Consider the following 15,810-nt stretch of genomic DNA (forward strand, 5'->3'; position numbering starts at 1 on the left):
TCTTGCTCTGTTGCCCCAGCTGGAGTGCAATGGTGCGATCATAGCTCACTGCAGCCTCGAACTCCTGGGCTCAGGGGATCCTCCTGCCTCGGCCTCCCAAAGTGCTGGGACCACAGGTGTGAGCCATCATGCCTGGTCTTTGGGAGGTTTTTGTTGTTTGTTCTAGTAGTACGTATGATTCTTTTAACAATATAAATTGCAGATTTTTTATATGTTGGAGTTGTTGCAAAATATCATGAATTCTCCTCACTACTTTTTAAGTTATAGTTATTAGACCAGTTGTTATTGGATATTACTTAATGTGCTAATACTCCCATTGGCACATTACTGCTATCTACTGTGACATACTACTACTGTCATATCTACACGCTATACCAAATTTGGCTTTATCAAGTATTTCAATCATTGTATTTCACTATGATTGGTTAGCTTTGTAATCCCATGTAATTTACGCCTTTATCCTGAGACTCCAGAGAGTTCACTGGACTGACAAAGGGGTTTGTGGTATAACCAAAGTTGTGGGCCTGCTCCAAAGGCTTGCCTAGCTTCCCCCTAGTCAACCCCACGACACACATTGTCCTGGCCCCACATTCACACCCAGTCTGCACGTTACGACCAGTTTATACCAGTAGTTCTGCCTTCTCACCACCAGGAGGCACTGCTTCACCCGAGTCACAGGAAGCCCTGGGCAGGTTAGGGCTTCTCCCTCCCGCCTTCATCCTGACAGGGGCTCGCATCAGAATCCTCCCGGAGCTTTTTTTTTTCCTTACTTCCATCCCTCCTTCCTTTTTTTTTTTTTTTTTTTTTTTTGAGACAGTCTCACTCTTTCGCTCTGTCGCCCAGCCAGGCTGGGGTGCAGTGGTGCGATAGCTCACTGCAACCTCCACTTCCTGGATTCAAGCGATTCTCCTGCCTCAGCCTCCCGAGTAGCTGGGACTACAGGTGCGTGCCACACCTGCTAATTTTTGTATTTTTAGTAGAGACAGAGTTTCACCATGTTGGCCGGGCTGGTCTTGAACTTCTGACCTCCAGTGATCCTCCTACCTCGGCCTCCCACAGTGCTGAGATTATAGGCATGAGCACTGTGCTCAGCCGCTCCTTCCTTTTTTCCTTCCTTCCTTCCTCCCTCCCTTCCTCCTTTCCTTCCTTCCATCCCTCCTCCCTCCCTTCCTCCTTTCCTTCCTTCCATCCCTCCTTTCTTTTCTTCCTTCCTTCCCTCTCTCCTTCCTTCTTCCCTCCCTCCCTCCTGTCTTCCATCCTTCCTTCCCTTCTCCCTCTCCCTCCTTCCTTCCTTTTTTCCTCCCTTTTAACTTTTTGTTATGAAAAATTTCAAACATACGAAAGTATATGAACCCCCAGAGAGCCATCAGCGACTGCAGTGATCATCTCGGGACCCAAGTCATTTCTGCACCCTGTCTGGGAGCCCTCTAAAGATACAGACGCTTGCCCTGCCCTATATGGGCGCTCAGAGCCTTAAGGTTTACAGAGCTCCTGGGCTGTTTGGGAACCACTGTCACAGCGTGGCCCCTGCCTCCCAGACCCCTGGTGACCGCGCACGGGCTTCCAGCAGCCATTCCCACACACATGAGCGTCTTGCCCATGTCTGCCCCAAGCCCTGGGCTCTCACTCCTGTTCTTTTGCTCAGGCACCACAGGAATTGGGGAACAGCTGACTCCCATTCCCTGCACAGCCTCTTCCTGTGGCTCTGAAAGCCAGGGTGAAGTAACACCCATCAGCCTTGCCCTTGAGCAAGCAACCACAGCCACATTTTGCTGGCACGAGGCTCATGGTGTGGCCTCTTCCTGCGATGGAGGGGCAGGCCCTGGGTTGGCAGCATCTCTGTGTTTCAGACTGAAAGACATTGTCAAGCTATTAAAGCTTGGTTCTGAGTGTCCAGAAGGATCCCTGTTATGAGCTGAATTGTCCCCCCTCCCCATCCATATGCTTTTTAAACATTTTTTATTTTTATTTCTTTTTTTTTTTTTTTTTTTGAGACGGAGTCTCGTTTTGTCACCCAGGCTGGAGTGCAGTGGTGCAATCTTGGCTCACTGCAACCTCTGCCTCCCAGGTTCAAGCGATTCTCCTGCCTCAGCCTCCCTAGTAGCTAGGATAACAGGTGCCCATCACCACGCCCGGCTAATTTTTGTATTTTTAGTAGAGATGGGGTTTCACCATGTTGACCAGGCTGGTCTTGAACTCCTGACCTCAGGTGATCTGCCCACCTCCGCCTCCCAAAGTGCTGGGATTACAGGTGTGAGCCACCGTGCCCGGCCATACTTTTTAAAAATTTTTTGTAGAGATGGAGTCTCACTATGTTGCCCAGGCTGGTCTCAGCCACTCAAGGTGCTGGAATTACAGGTGTGAGCCACCATGCCCAGCCCCCCATTCATATTTTGAGATCTTAGCCTCCATTACCTCAGGATATGACTGTATTTGATGATAGGGTCTTTAAAAGGTAACTAAGTTAAAATGAGATCGTTAGGTTGCACCCTAAACCAATATGATTGTGTCCTTAAGAGGAAACATGGGCCCGGTGCAGTGGCTCACTCCTGTCATCCCAGCATTTTGGGAGGCCAAGGCAGGCAGATCGCTTGAGCTCAGGAGTTCAAGGCCAGCCTGGGCAACATGGTGAAACCTCATCTCTACTAAAAATACAAAAAAATTAGCCAGGCATGGTGGTGCACGCCTATAGCCCCAGATACTCAGGGTGAAGCGGGGAGTCAATTGAGGCTGGGAGGTTGAGGCTGCAGTGAGTCTAGGTCATGCCACTGCACTCCAGCCTGGGCGACAGAGTGAGACCCTGTCTCAAAAAAAAAAAAAAAAAAAAAGGAAACATGGACACAGATAAGAACCCAGGGAAGACCAGTGGAGACACAAGGAGAAGACAGCATCTCCAAGCCGAGCAGAGAGTCCTGGCGGGGCCGCGCGCGGTGGCTCATACCTGTAATCCCAGCACTTTGGGAGGCCAAGGCAGGTGGATTACTTAAGGTCAGGAGTTTGAGACCAGCCTGGCCAACATGGTGAAACCTCATCTCTACTAAAAATACAAAAATTAGCCTGGTGTGATGGGCCACACTTGTGTTCCCAGCTACTTGGGAGGCTGAGGCAGGAGAATCACTTGAACCTGGGAGGCGGAGGTTGCAAATGGATACAACTCACTAAACCAGTAAGATCCCTTCCTACATCCTGAGGAACTACCTGTAGGAGTTTCTGACGGGGACCAGAGGCAGCCTGTACAGGGGGCCTGGGGCTCTCTATGTGTGTGTGTCCCGGGGCAGCCCTGGGTTTGGTGAGAGGGAGGATTCTGATCTCACTCAGCCCTACTCACTCCGGCCCTCTTGGGAAGTGGGTACCAAGCCCTGATCCCACCCGGGCTGGTGCAGGATGGTGGCATCCCCGTGGCCTGCAGCCGAGCCCTGTGGAAGGCCGCTGGGCAGAGACAGCTCCTCCGTTCACAGGACCCTCATCCAAAAACCCTCACATATTTCAACATAGCCGCACCCCGAACGTGGACCCCTCAGGCACCGGGCCCTGTGTGGCCATCCAGGCTGCACACCCATGAAGCCAGCTCTGCTGCTGGGGGACAGCAGAGAGAGGAACAGGCAGGCCGAAAGGTGTCCAGGGCACAGTGACGTCACCAGGAGCCACTGAGTCATCAGGAGGGCCTTTCATCAGTCGGCTGCCTGGTCTGATCTGAGCGAGGTGGAAGCTTCCAAGGCCAGACACGGGGAGACTCTGTGAGGCTCCCACATTGTTGATCATTTCTTCTCATCTCTCCTCTCCTGACCAGATTGCTCTCTAACCAGATTCATTTCAGGAGTAAGTGACTGCCGGCCAAGAAAGACAACCCCCTCAAGGTTACTAATTTAAAGACAGATGGGATCAGCTGTGATTTCAGTCGCAGTTATGAAAATTAGAGCCAGGTGTGGTGGCTCATACCTGTAATCTCAGCACTTTGGGAGGCTGAGGTGGGAGAACTGCTTGAGTCGAGGAGTTAGAGACCAGCCTGGGCAACATAATGAGACCCCTTGTCTTTAGAAAAAATGTAAACATTTGCCAAGTGTGATGGCGTACACCTGTAGTCCCAGCTACTTAGGAGGCTGAGGTGGGAGGCTCGCCTGAGCCCAAGAGGTCAAGGTTGCAGTGAGCCATGATCGCACACTGCACTTCAGCCTGGGCAACAGAGCAAGACCCTGTCTCAGGAAAAAAAAAAAGGAAAAGAAAATTAGACTAAGACATGCTTTGTTTTGCAATGGTGCAGCATCAAGGGGTCCTGGCAGGGAAGAGGTGGCACCAGCCTGCACCACTGCTGCAGAAATACTCGGGAGTACACAAAGCACTTCTCGGCTGGAGTCCAGAGGCCTTCATATTTGGTAGTTTACTCTGATGTTTTCAGTTCCAACAGAGGAAGAGGAAGGGGCTGGTCCACAGTGGCCTCAGGTAATGCTCAGCCTTGGGGGATGATGAACACAATGAGGGGCACTTGGCGTGAAGAGTGAGAGTCCATTTCTCCTTCTCCTCCTCCTCCTCCTCCTCCTCGTCCTCCTCCTCCCCCCGCCCCCTTCCTCCTCCTCCTCTTCCTGCTCCTTCCCCCTACCCTCCCCACACGGGAGGTGTATCAGGTAGTGAGTTTCAGCCCGGCACGGTGGCTCATGCCTGTAATCCCAGCATTTTGGAAGGCTGAGCCAGGCGGTTCACTTGAGGCCAGGAGTTCGAGACAAGCCTGGGCAACATGGTGAAACCCTGTCTCTACTATTAACAAAGTTACAAAAATTAGGCATGGTGGGGTGTGACTGTAGTCCCAGCTACTCGGGAGGCTGAGGCAGGAGAATTGCTTGAACCCAGAAGGCGAAGATTACAGTGAGTCTAGATCGTGCCACTCTACTCCAGGCTGGGCGACGGAGACTCTGTCTCAAAAAAATATTATTTCTTGAGGTCAGGAATTCAAGATCAGCCTGCCCAACAAGGTGAAACCCGGTCTCTACTAAAAACACAAAAAAATTAGCTGGACGTGGTGGCGCACATCTGCAATCCCAGCTACTTAGGAGGCTGAGGCATGAGAATCGCTTGAATCTGGGAGGCAGAGGTTGCAGTGAGCCGAGATCACGCCACTGCACTCCAGCGAAACTCTATCTCGAACATACATACATACAGCAAGCTCTCAATGGGGCCAGTGAGCTGTGAGCATGTTTCCTCTGCACGCTAAGCTCTTGACTCACATTCCATCAGGAAGTTGGGGTCATCTTGACCAGGGAAGGGCAGGCATCTTGGTGGGGGGCCCCTGGACTGTACCTGGTAGTGCTGCTAGCAGAGGAATGGAAGCTGGGCAGCAAAAACCCCTGATGCCCACTAGTCCTGAGCATCCCTGGAAGCATCCTGCCAAGTGCAAGGCCCAGGGTAAGTGCTGAATTAATACTTGCATTTTGCCTGGATCCTCACCCCACCCACCAATTTTAACCACGGATCCTGATGAGAGCTAAGTAGAGTACCAAAGGTCATTTCCGTTTTTTTTTTTTTAATGTATCACAGCTACTACAATTTGTATTTTGTATGTTTACAAGCACATGCTTGGAAAACAGAAAATAATTTGGTTTTAAATATTCCAGGAAATTACAATCTAATTGCATCAGTTCCCAACTGTGCCTCAGTTTCTAGCCTGGAAAATGGGGTTGTATTACAATTAACTCTCTCTGACTTGTGATCAGGGTTCCTATTTTTTTTTTTTTTTTTTGGTTTTTTGTTTGTTTTTTGTTTTTGAGACGGAGTTTCGCTCTTGTTGCCCAGGCTGGAGTGCAATGGTGTGATCTCGGGTCACTGCAACCTCCGCCTCCTGGGTTCAAACGATTCTCCTGCCTCAGCCTCCCAAGTAACTGGGATTACAGGCGCCCACCACCACGCCCAGCTAATTTTTGTATTTTTAGTAAGACGGGGTTTCACCATGTTGGCCAGGCTGGTCTCGAACTCCTGACCTCAGGTGATCTGCCCACCTCGGCCTCCCAAAGTGCTGGGATTACAGGCGTGAGCCACTGCGCCCGGACTCTATTTGGTTTTAAAAGCTCTCTAGGGTTCCCTCTTCCCAGACAGCCAAATTAGGGAGTGACATAACCCGCAGCACAGTTGTCAAAGGGGCCCTTAATTATTCACCCATCCCAGAGGCATCGTTTGAAGAAAGTGCCTTCTTTAAGGGCATTGGCTGCCTAGATGTGTTCAAATATAAATGTGTGTGTGTATACTTACATTTTTAATAGACTTTTATTTTGGAATAATTGTAGATTTACAGAAAAGCTGCAAAGAATAGTACAGAGAGTTCCCTCAAATTCTTCGCCCAGTTTCCTCTAACATTTGCATCTTACACAGCCATGGCACATTTGTCAAAACTAAGAAATTAACACTGGTATTACTTTTAACTAAAGGCTTTTTTGGATTTTACCAGTTTTTTCACTCATGCCTTGTTTTGTTCCAAAATCCAACCCAGGATATCACACTGCATTTAATCAAATGTAAATACGTATGCTTTAACTTTTTTATTTTAAAATAATCATAGATTTACAGGAAATTGCAACAACAACAAAAAAAGTACAGAGATTCTGTGTACCCTTCCCCCAGTTTCGTTCAGTGGTAACTCCTTGTATAACTACACAATATCAAAACCATGAAATAGATATTGGCACAATCCATAGACAGTATTAAATATACATGCATATATATATATTTTTAAGTGAAAAATATTTTTAAACCTCGCTTTGCCTCACAGCCAAGAAGATCAAATACTTTCTCCAAAAACATAGAATTTGTATCTAACTCCACTCGCTCCAAACTCAAGTCCAACCATGAAATTATTGATCCCTCTCTCTAACCCTCCAACTACAGGCAAGAAGCTGCCCATACATTCCCCAAAGCAGGAGTGCACTCTGCCACAGGCCTAGATGCCGTCAACCTCCTGGACCTTGAACTCCCTAAATTAATGGCCTCTGTGTGAGTATGTGTAAGCAGCCCCTCTCTGTCCCAGTCCATCCTAAAATCACTCCCTTGGAGCCACCACTGCCCCTCTCATCTTCTAGAATTTCTAGAAAGATAAAGAGCTAGATAAGCATCTAGGTACCTTTCTTCTGCTGTTAGCTCTAAAGACAAGTGAATATATCCTAGCTAGGATGTACTCTAAGGAATGCAGAAGTAGGCCGAGTGCAGTGGCTCATTCCTGTAATCCCAGTGCTTTGGGAGGCCGAGGTGGGCGGATCACCTGAGGTCAGGAGTTTGAGTCCAGCCTGGTCAACATGGCAAAGCCCCGTCTCTACTAAAAATACAAAAATTAGCTGGGCGTGGTGGCGGGTGCCTGTAATCCCAGCTACTCGGGAGGCTGAGGCAGGAGAATCACTTGAACCCCCAAGGCAGAGGTTGCAGTGAGCTGAGATGGTACCACTGCCCATTTCAAAAAAAAAAAAAAAAGAATGCAGAAGTAAATTAAATGACCACAAAGAGTTTTTTTTAATTTGAGACAGGGTCTGGCTCTGTCACCTAGGCTGGAATACAGTGGCGCAATCTCAGCTCACTTCAATCTGTGCCTCCTGGGCTCAAGCCATCCCCTGACCTCAGCCTCCTGAGTAGCTGGGACTACAGTCCTGCCACTATGCCTGGCTAATTTTTGTATTTTTTGTAGAGATGTTGCCCAGGCTGGTCTGAAACTCCTGAGCTCAAGGGATCCATCCACCTGGGCCTCCCCAAGTGCTGGGATTACAGGCATGCGCCACCGTGCCCAACCCAGACATCACTTTTATCTGAAGCAACAACTATCTGCTCTTTCTGTTTCCTTACTAATTATCCAGGAACTTTTACAGGTGAACTCTGAGGAGGACAATTTTTATTGTTTTTATGTCAGCATAACTAAAAGTAAAGCTGGATAGGAAGAGGTTACTTGAAAATGATTTCACCTGAACTCAAATGAATAAGCTGGCTACTGCATAAAGCAACAGAGGGGTCCCTTTAATTTAAAAGCTCAGGACTCTGAATCAATTGCTGGTTGGGAGAAGGTAGAGACATTCTTTACTTCTGCCTAGAACTGGGGAAAATGGCGTAGACTTCTGCTCTGAAGCAGTCCTCAGTGCTGCTTCGGTCAGAACTCCCGAGAGGCATCTGAGTGCTGGCCTGTCACTGCGGCTGGCATTCCAGGCATTTCATTGGCCCCACTTCAGCCCACGCCTGGCTCCACGGGGCTGGGCAGCTGAGGGGAGTTTGTGGCAGAGTGGGCATGGGGCACGGCCCGTGCAATGTGCGTTACAAAGGGGCTCTCTCTGAAGCAAGTCCTCTGCACTCCAGTCTATTTGAGGAAGAAAAGGACAATTCCCATAGGGAGGGGGTTTGCTGAAGCAACCAGCTGCCTGGTTTCCTCTCCAGCATTGAGAGGGAGGGAGGGCTGGCTTAACTGGGGGACGGCCTTCTCATCTGGACTGTGTCAAGGCCAAGGTTAGGCTCCAAATTCCAGAAAACCTCTCTGCAGGGTCTTCTTTCAGAGTGGTGAGAATGGAAGCAGGCTCCCTTCCCCTCCAGCACTAGGAAGCCCCGCAATTGGTGAGGTGCAAAGAAAGATGGGCCCAGGCAGGGAGGCGGGAGCAGGGGAGGTGCCCAGGGCAGTGGCTGGAAGGGCAACGGGAGAAGCAGCAGAGGCTGGGGGTGGGGGTCGCAGCAGGTGCTGTCCCTGGCCTGTGTGAAAGGTACTAGAAGGCCCCATCCTTGGTGCCACATGGACCCCAGAGGCTTGTCTTAGTCCATGGGGTCCGAGGTGTAAGACACTTACGTTTGGCGTCACCTCTTAGGCTTGGATGAATTTCAGAAAGTGCTAGACTGGAGAACAGTGGAAAAAATCAGTGGAACAAGATCTGGAGCACTCACTGCTCAATGTCAATGTTAGAGAGCACAACGACACCAATGGGAGGAGGGTGAGGACCAGAGGCTGATTGCATGAGCTCTGTTGGAGTGCAGGACCCACTAACGGGTTATCTCAGGGTTCCTGGAGGCCACGGCTGTGCCTTGTGGTCCAAGACCTGGGGAAGCCACCACTGTGTCTTCCCTCTCCATCCTCCGGTGACTTTGGTCCAATTCCTGTTGCCATGGCAATCAGCCCAGCTGGCCTCACAGTTCACTGGCCTCAAAGTTGGCATCTGTAGGTGAAGCCAGTGGGACCCAGAGAACTTAATTCTTCTCAACTGAGCTGGCTTGGAGGAACTTTTCTCATCAGCCACTGGAGCAGAGAACGTCACCAGCGTCTCACTGACGTCAACATCCTGGGCCTGGCTCTAGCTGAAAAGGAAAATTCTCCCCAAGGCAGACACATCTCCCGAAGCCCACACAGGCACTTTCTATGATTGCACTGGAAATCTGTCTCCTGGGGACAGGGAGCGCGTACGCTCACAGTCAAGTCACAATGTTGAGCAGTCTCCAGGACTCCACGTTCATCTCTAAGAACAGGAGCCGGTGGTTGGGCGCAGATTCTTGAGCCAGATTGCTCGCGTTCAAAACCTGGTCCCTTTTTATTAATTGCATGCTTAGTTACATTTTCTGTTTGTACTTTTGTTTCCTTCTCTGCAAGACGGGGTTAATCACAGACACTTGTACATGATGTAATACACTTACAATACTTAGGACAGGCCTTCCTGCATAGTAAGTGCTCTGCAAACACTGGCTACTATTCTCCCTACGTGCAAACTTCTCCCAGCCAAAAGCCGCCCACACCAAGCCCCTGTGCCTTTTTCCTTCCGCACCCACGAGCAGGCTGCTCCTGGGGCCCTGGAGCTCACTTTCCCAGCCGCCCTCACCACCCACCGTGGCGCAGAAGAGCTTCCGAAGTCCTGGCGTCTCCCACTGGTCTGGGCATCTCTCGCTTCATCTTCCCTCTTGGGCCCCACAACGTGCAGCACTTCTAGGGCAGTATACTTGCTGATTGCTTCCTTACTATTGCTCACAACAACCAGCTAAGACACTGCCAAAGAAACACTCACAGCTGGCCGGTCCACGGCATCCGGAGGGGACTCGGGGGACAGGCCTGTCCTGCCTCTCCCCAGCACCTGTTGATAAGAAGGAAATGTGGGGAGGAAAGAAAGGATGCAGGAGGCCGAGGTGGGAGGATCGCTTCAGGCCAGGAGTTCAAGACCAGCCCAGGCAACTAGCAAGACTCCATCTCTACAAAAAAATTTTAAAAATTAGCCAGGCATGGTGACATGCGTGCCTGTAGTCCTAGCTACTGGAGAGGCCAGGGCAGGAGGATCGCTTGAGCCCAGGGGTTGAGGCTGCAGGGAGCTGTGATTGCGCCAGTCTGGGTGACAGGGTGAGACCCCGTCTCTAAAAATAAAAATTGGGTGATGGCTCACACCTGTAATCCCAGCAATTTTGGAGGCCAAGACAGGAGGATCACTTGAGGCGAGAAGTTCAAAACCAGCCTGGTTAACATAGCCAGACCACCACCTTCAGCAACTGTCTCTACAAAATGAAAATAAAAATAATGAAAGAGAGAGGATGGAGGAGAAGGCTGAGACCAGTAACAGATTCCAAAAGGACTAATTGACAAGGAGAAAAAGAGTCAGCACTTCCCTGGAAGAGAAAAAATTCGAAAAGGACAGTGGTTGAAAAGTCAGCATGTCTGCGTGAAAGGGAAGCAATGAAGTAGCGCCAACTCCTCCCCCGTCCCGGGCACCGTTTAGGGAGAGGATCAGAGTTCTGCCAGAGAATCAGAACCAGAAGGAGATATAGATTAAGTTTATTTCAAGGAATCGGCTTACGTGATTGTGGGGGCTGGCTAGGCAAGTCTGAAATCCAGAGGGCAGGCCAGCAGGCCGGAAGCTCCCCGGAGGAGCTGACACTGCAGTCCCCAGGCAGGATTTCTTCTTCTTCAGGGAAACCTCGGTTCTGCTCTTGAGGCCTTTCAACCGATTGCATGAGGCCCACCCACCTCGCAGAGGAGAACCTTTGACTTACAGCCAGTGATCATCAGTGCTGACCACATGTACAACGCACCTCACAGTAGCACCCAGGCAAGCGTTTGGTTGAATCATGGGTATCACAGCCTCGCTAAATTGACAAGGAAATTGCCCATCACAGGGTTTAAGATCTAGTGCTTTAAGATCTACTGACTTCTTGTTGTTTTGTTGTTGTTGTTTTTATAGAGATGGGTTCTTGCCATGTTGCCCAGGATGGTCTCAAACTCCTGGGCTCAAGTGATCCTTCCGCCTCGGCCTCCCAAAATACTGGGGTTATAGGCATGAACCACTATGCCAGGCCAAGATCTAGTGACTTTGGATACGGACCACCACGGAACAGTTCCTCTTCCATGTGGGTGTGGGGGCATGAAGGACTGTTTTCAGGAGGATCAAAGTCACCTCTACCCCAGCATGGGAAGTCCCAGAAACTTGAGTTCCAGGTAAGGTAGTGCAGAAAAAAGCAGGCTCATGAGCCAGTGCTGTCTCTCTCTGTGCAAGGGGGAAAGAGCCCCTCTGAGGCCTCCACACACAGTCAGCAGGACACAGGACACAGAGGTCAGCCTGTTGTGGCCACTGTGAAATGTCCCGTTGGAGTTGACAGGAGCCTGCTCTGACCTCAGTCCTCCTCCTCCAAACAGGTGACCCTGTAATGCTCTGGTTAAAAAGCAAGCCAGCTGGACTGTGTTATCTTTTAGTGTGGGAAAAATGCTCTTAGGCCGGGCGTGGTGGCTCACACCTGTAATCCCAGTACTTTGGGAGGCTGAGGTGGGTGGATCACTTGAGATCAGGAGTTCGAGATCAGCCTGGTCAACATGGTGAAACGCCATCTCTACTACCAAAAAAAAAAAAAAAATACAAAAATTAGCTAGGCATGGTGGCATGTGCCTGTAGTTCCAGGTACCTGGGAGGCTGAGGCAGGAGAGTTGCTTGAACCTGGGAGGCAGAGGTTGCAGATCACACCAGTGCACTCCAGCCTGGGTGACAGAGCGAGACTCTGTCTTAAAAAAAAAAAAAAAGCTCCTAATATGTCAGATTTTAACCCAAAGGTAAATTCCAGCAGGGCATGCTCATCAGCTAGAGCGGCAGGTCTCGGCTTCACTGTGTAAGCATCGGCTGGGGAGCTTTTGGTAAAATGCAGATTCCCAGGTTCAAACCTAGAAGTTCAGACTTGGCAGCTCTGGGATGATGCCAAAGGTACATCCTGCAGTTGCTGTGTCCCCAGGTCAGCGCAGAGACAAGCAAAAACTCAAAGCTTCCTCCCTCCCTCAACTCCCAGCCAAGACTGGACGGGGCAGGGGACCCCAGAATCCTGAAAACAGATAGCCACATGGAAACAGTGACCACAGCACACTTGAACTTTGTAAGCACAGCAGAAGCGTGTGGGATGGGCTGGCCCATCCAGAGATGGGGTGCAAGAGGCAGGAATCTGGCCTCATGGTGGCTCCTGGCTTCAGCCCCAGCACTGCCACCAGAGGGAGGGCCGTGTGTTTTCAGGGGTGGGCATGGCAGGGGTGTCAGGCAAACACTAACACAGTGAAGTGCAACTGCCAAGTCTTCCAGCCAGCCCGATCCTCAGGCTCGGAAACGGTCCCAGAGGAAAAGATGGTTCAGAAGAGAGAGAGAGTAAGATCCCGGGGACATCTGAGCCAAACCACACGCACTTTCCACTGCTCAGCAGCCCCTGTCCCAGACTTCCAAACAGAATTCCATTTTCTGAATCTAGACAGCCACCTGGGTGAAGGCATCTACCCATGAAGGCTGCTGCCCCAGGCACCAGAAGGACAGGAGGGGGCCCTTCCTCTTCCTCCTGAGTCAGGACCCTCAGATGGAGAAGAAAATCCTCCTAGTCAGAAAGAGGAGGCTCTGACTTTAGGGACAATCTTTCTAGTTAGAGAGAGGAGGTCTGAACTCTGTGGACAATCTTTCCAGTCAGAGAGAGAAGGCCTGGACTTCAGGGACAATTTTTTCTGGTTAGACAGAGGAGGTGGTGGTGGTAGTGCATGCCTGTAGTCCCAGCTACTCAAGAGGCCAGGGTGGGAGGATCACTTGAGCCCAGGAATTGAGGCTGCAGTGAGCCACTGCGCTCTAGCCTGGGTGACAGAGCAAGACCCTGTCTCTAAAAATAAAAATAAAAAATTGGATGGTGGCTCACATGCGTAATCCCAACACTTTGGGAGCCCAAGGGGGGAGAATCACTTGGGGACAGCCTTTCCAGTCAGAGAGAGGAGGCCTGGACTCTGAGGACAATCTTTCCAGTCAGAGAGAAGAGGCCTGGACGCTGAGGACAATCTTTCCAGTCAGAGAGAAGAGGCCTGGACTCTGAGGGCAATCTTTCCAATCAGAGAGAAGAGGCCTGAACTCTGAGGACAGTCTCTAGTCAGAGAGAGGAGGCCTGGACTCTGAGGACAGTCTTTCCAGTCACAGAGAGGAGGCCTGGACCCTGAGGACAGTCTTTCCAGTCAGAGAGAGGAGGCCTGGACTCTCAGGACAATCTTTCCAGTCAGAGAGAGGAGGTCTGGACTCTGAGGACAGGCTTTCCAGTCAGAGAGAGGAGGCCTGGACTCTCAGGACAGTCTTTCCAGTCAGAAAGAAGAGGCCTGGACTCTGAGGACAGTCTTTTCAGTCAGAGAGAAGAGGCCTGGACTCTGAGGGCAATCTTTCCAGTCAGAGGGAGGAGTCCTGGACTCTGAGGACAATCTTTTCAGTCAGAGAGAAGAGGCCTGGACTCTGAGGGCAGTCTTTCCAGTCAGAGAGAAGAGGCCTGGACTCTGAGGACAGTCTTTCCAGTCAGAGAGAGGAGGCCTGGACTCTGAGGACAATCTTTCCAGTCAGAGAGAAGAGGCCTGGACTCTGAGGGCAATCTTTCCAGTCAGAGGGAAGAGGCCTGGACTCTGAGGACAGTCTTTCCAGTCAGAGAGAGGAGGCCTGGACTCTGAGGACAGTCTTTCCAGTCAGAGAGAGGAGGCCTGGACTCTCAGGACAATCTTTCCAGTCAGAGAGAGGAGGTCTGGACTCTGAGGACAGGCTTTCCAGTCAGAGAGAGGAGGCCTGGACTCTCAGGACAGTCTTTCCAGTCAGAGAGAGGAGGTCTGGACTCTGAGGACAGGCTTTCCAGTCAGAGAGAGGAGGCCTGGACTCTCAGGACAGTCTTTCCAGTCAGAGAGAGGAGGCCTGGACTCTCAGGACAGTCTTTCCAGTCAAAGATTCTAGGCCTGGACTTTGGGGACAGCCTTCTCCATCAAGAGAGAGGAGGCCAGGATTTTAGGCAATGGGGAATAATTAATCAATACATGAAAATTGATTGTGTTCCACAAAATACAAAACGTACCAAGTCAGCAATCTTTAACCATGTCAGACTTCCCTGGAGTCACAACCTGAGGACAGAGATTTAAATGATGTTCCTTTCTACAGAAAGGCCTTCACTCTAAGTATCAGGCCCAGCTTCTGCTGCATTAAACATAAGATGTATAAGGCCCCAGGCCTGATGTGTCTTGCTGCCCAGCCAGCCCTGCTGGTCCAGCAAACCAGGAGGAATTCGAGAAAATCAGAAGCCATCTTTAGCAGGAAATAGAACTCCAGAGGGGCTGTGAGCTCCTTCAGCACAAAAGAAAACGTTGATTCTGGCCGGGTGCGGTGGCTCACACCGGTATATCCCACTGCTTTGGGAAGCTGAGGTGGGTGGACCACTTCAGGTCAGGAGTTTGAGACCAACCTGGGCAACATGGTGAAACTCCTGTCTCTACTAAAAACACAAAAACTAGCCGGGCATGGTGGCAGGTGCCTGTAATCCCAACTACTTGGGAGGCTGAGGCGGGAGGATTGTTTGAACCCATAAGGCGGAGGTTACAGTGAGCCGAGATGGTGTCACTGCACTCCAGACTGGGTAACAGAGGAAGACTCTGTCTCAAAAAAAAAAAAAAAAAAAGAAGAAGAAGAAGAAAAGAAAATGCTGATTCTGGTAATGATGCTCTCGGATGGTATGATTCCCAGAAACACAGGAGCTCTCACCATCACTGGGATGTGAAAATTCACTCAGGAAACCTCCTCAGCCCCACAGCACATCTCCCAGAAGCATGATGGTCCCCTCCACATCCAACACACAGCCACCGAGAGCCTCTGACCTGTGGACACCATGCTGGGTGTTCACCAGTCATGGCGGGGGGACAGACAGGTGTCCTGGGCCTTGGAGAATCTAATGTCCGTGGAGCAGACACAGGCAAGAAATCACAGCTGGGCAAAATTACAATGGGGAGCAGTGCTAGGGAGGAAAGACCCCTAGCTTCTCTTCCAGAGGAGAAGGTAGTCTGGGATGTCGTCCCCGTGGCCTCATCAATGAGATCAGGGAAGGGTAACAGGGAACACGCCGCACCACGGGCATCAGGGTGGGTGAAGTAGGGCTCGGGGAGGGAGGACCAGCAGCCTGGGAGGGTCGTGTGGTGGCTGAAGTTGCCAAGGAGGCCACGGTGTTGAAGCAACCAAGAAGGCGGGGACAAGTGAGGCAGAAGTGGGCGACCTCGCAGGCCTCCACGAAGAACCCGCCTTTGTTTTAGGAGCAATGGGAAGACACAGCATGTTTAGAGGTGGAGGGATCTCTTGCCAGAACTGTTCTAGAAGCCTGGTGGCGGGGACTGGTAAATATACTGAAAACCAAACCAAACAAAACGAAGCCCCATACCCTTACCCCCCACCACGGGCATGCTTCCACCATGACAGCAAACATCAGGTTGCGGGTGTGTGGGGTCATGACCTCATCCTCTGCTCCCATTTCCCCAACAGCACCTAATGCACAGCGGACACGGGCAGACCCTTCACACGTGACTATGTCCCAATGATCTTTATGTGT

The 15,810-nt window shown here is 50.8% G+C and overlaps 1 long non-coding RNA gene and 1 other non-coding gene across 2 annotated transcripts in view, besides 4 other annotated features; both read right to left on the minus strand.

Annotated features, from left to right (window-relative positions):
- Positions 453 to 747: an enhancer, noted in NCBI's record as "tiled region #7425; HepG2 Activating non-DNase unmatched - State 12:CtcfO, and K562 Activating DNase unmatched - State 25:Art". NCBI's record gives its function as "activates a minimal TATA promoter and a strong SV40 promoter by Sharpr-MPRA in HepG2 cells, with weaker activity in K562 cells {active_cell/tissue: HepG2 | K562}" and the evidence as "EXISTENCE:reporter gene assay evidence [ECO:0000049][PMID:27701403]".
- Positions 3,565 to 3,614: an enhancer, noted in NCBI's record as "active region_118". NCBI's record gives its function as "activates an Ori minimal core promoter by ATAC-STARR-seq in GM12878 lymphoblastoid cells {active_cell/tissue: GM12878}" and the evidence as "EXISTENCE:reporter gene assay evidence [ECO:0000049][PMID:35858748]".
- Positions 3,705 to 3,804: an enhancer, noted in NCBI's record as "active region_119". NCBI's record gives its function as "activates an Ori minimal core promoter by ATAC-STARR-seq in GM12878 lymphoblastoid cells {active_cell/tissue: GM12878}" and the evidence as "EXISTENCE:reporter gene assay evidence [ECO:0000049][PMID:35858748]".
- MIR34AHG (MIR34A host gene) overlaps positions 6,234 to 15,810 on the minus strand; it is a 34,328-nt gene continuing 24,751 nt past the window's right edge. Inside the window, exon 2 of the long non-coding RNA NR_132742.1 lies at positions 6,234 to 10,058. This is a non-coding gene — a long non-coding RNA (MIR34A host gene). The remainder of the gene's footprint in view (positions 10,059 to 15,810) is intronic.
- Positions 9,809 to 10,045: a silencer, noted in NCBI's record as "fragment chr1:9211645-9211881 (GRCh37/hg19 assembly coordinates)". NCBI's record gives its function as "represses an EF-1alpha promoter that drives an FKBP-Casp9 reporter gene in an ReSE screen in phorbol 12-myristate 13-acetate-treated (for megakaryocytic differentiation) K562 erythroleukemia cells {active_cell/tissue: K562(+PMA)}" and the evidence as "EXISTENCE:reporter gene assay evidence [ECO:0000049][PMID:32094911]".
- On the minus strand, positions 9,891 to 10,000 carry MIR34A (microRNA 34a). Its single transcript, NR_029610.1, has one exon. It is a non-coding gene; the product is annotated as a microRNA 34a (primary transcript).

This window comes from Homo sapiens, chromosome 1 (assembly GCF_000001405.40).
Source record: "Homo sapiens chromosome 1, GRCh38.p14 Primary Assembly".
In the NCBI taxonomy this organism is placed as follows: domain Eukaryota; kingdom Metazoa; phylum Chordata; class Mammalia; order Primates; family Hominidae; genus Homo; species Homo sapiens.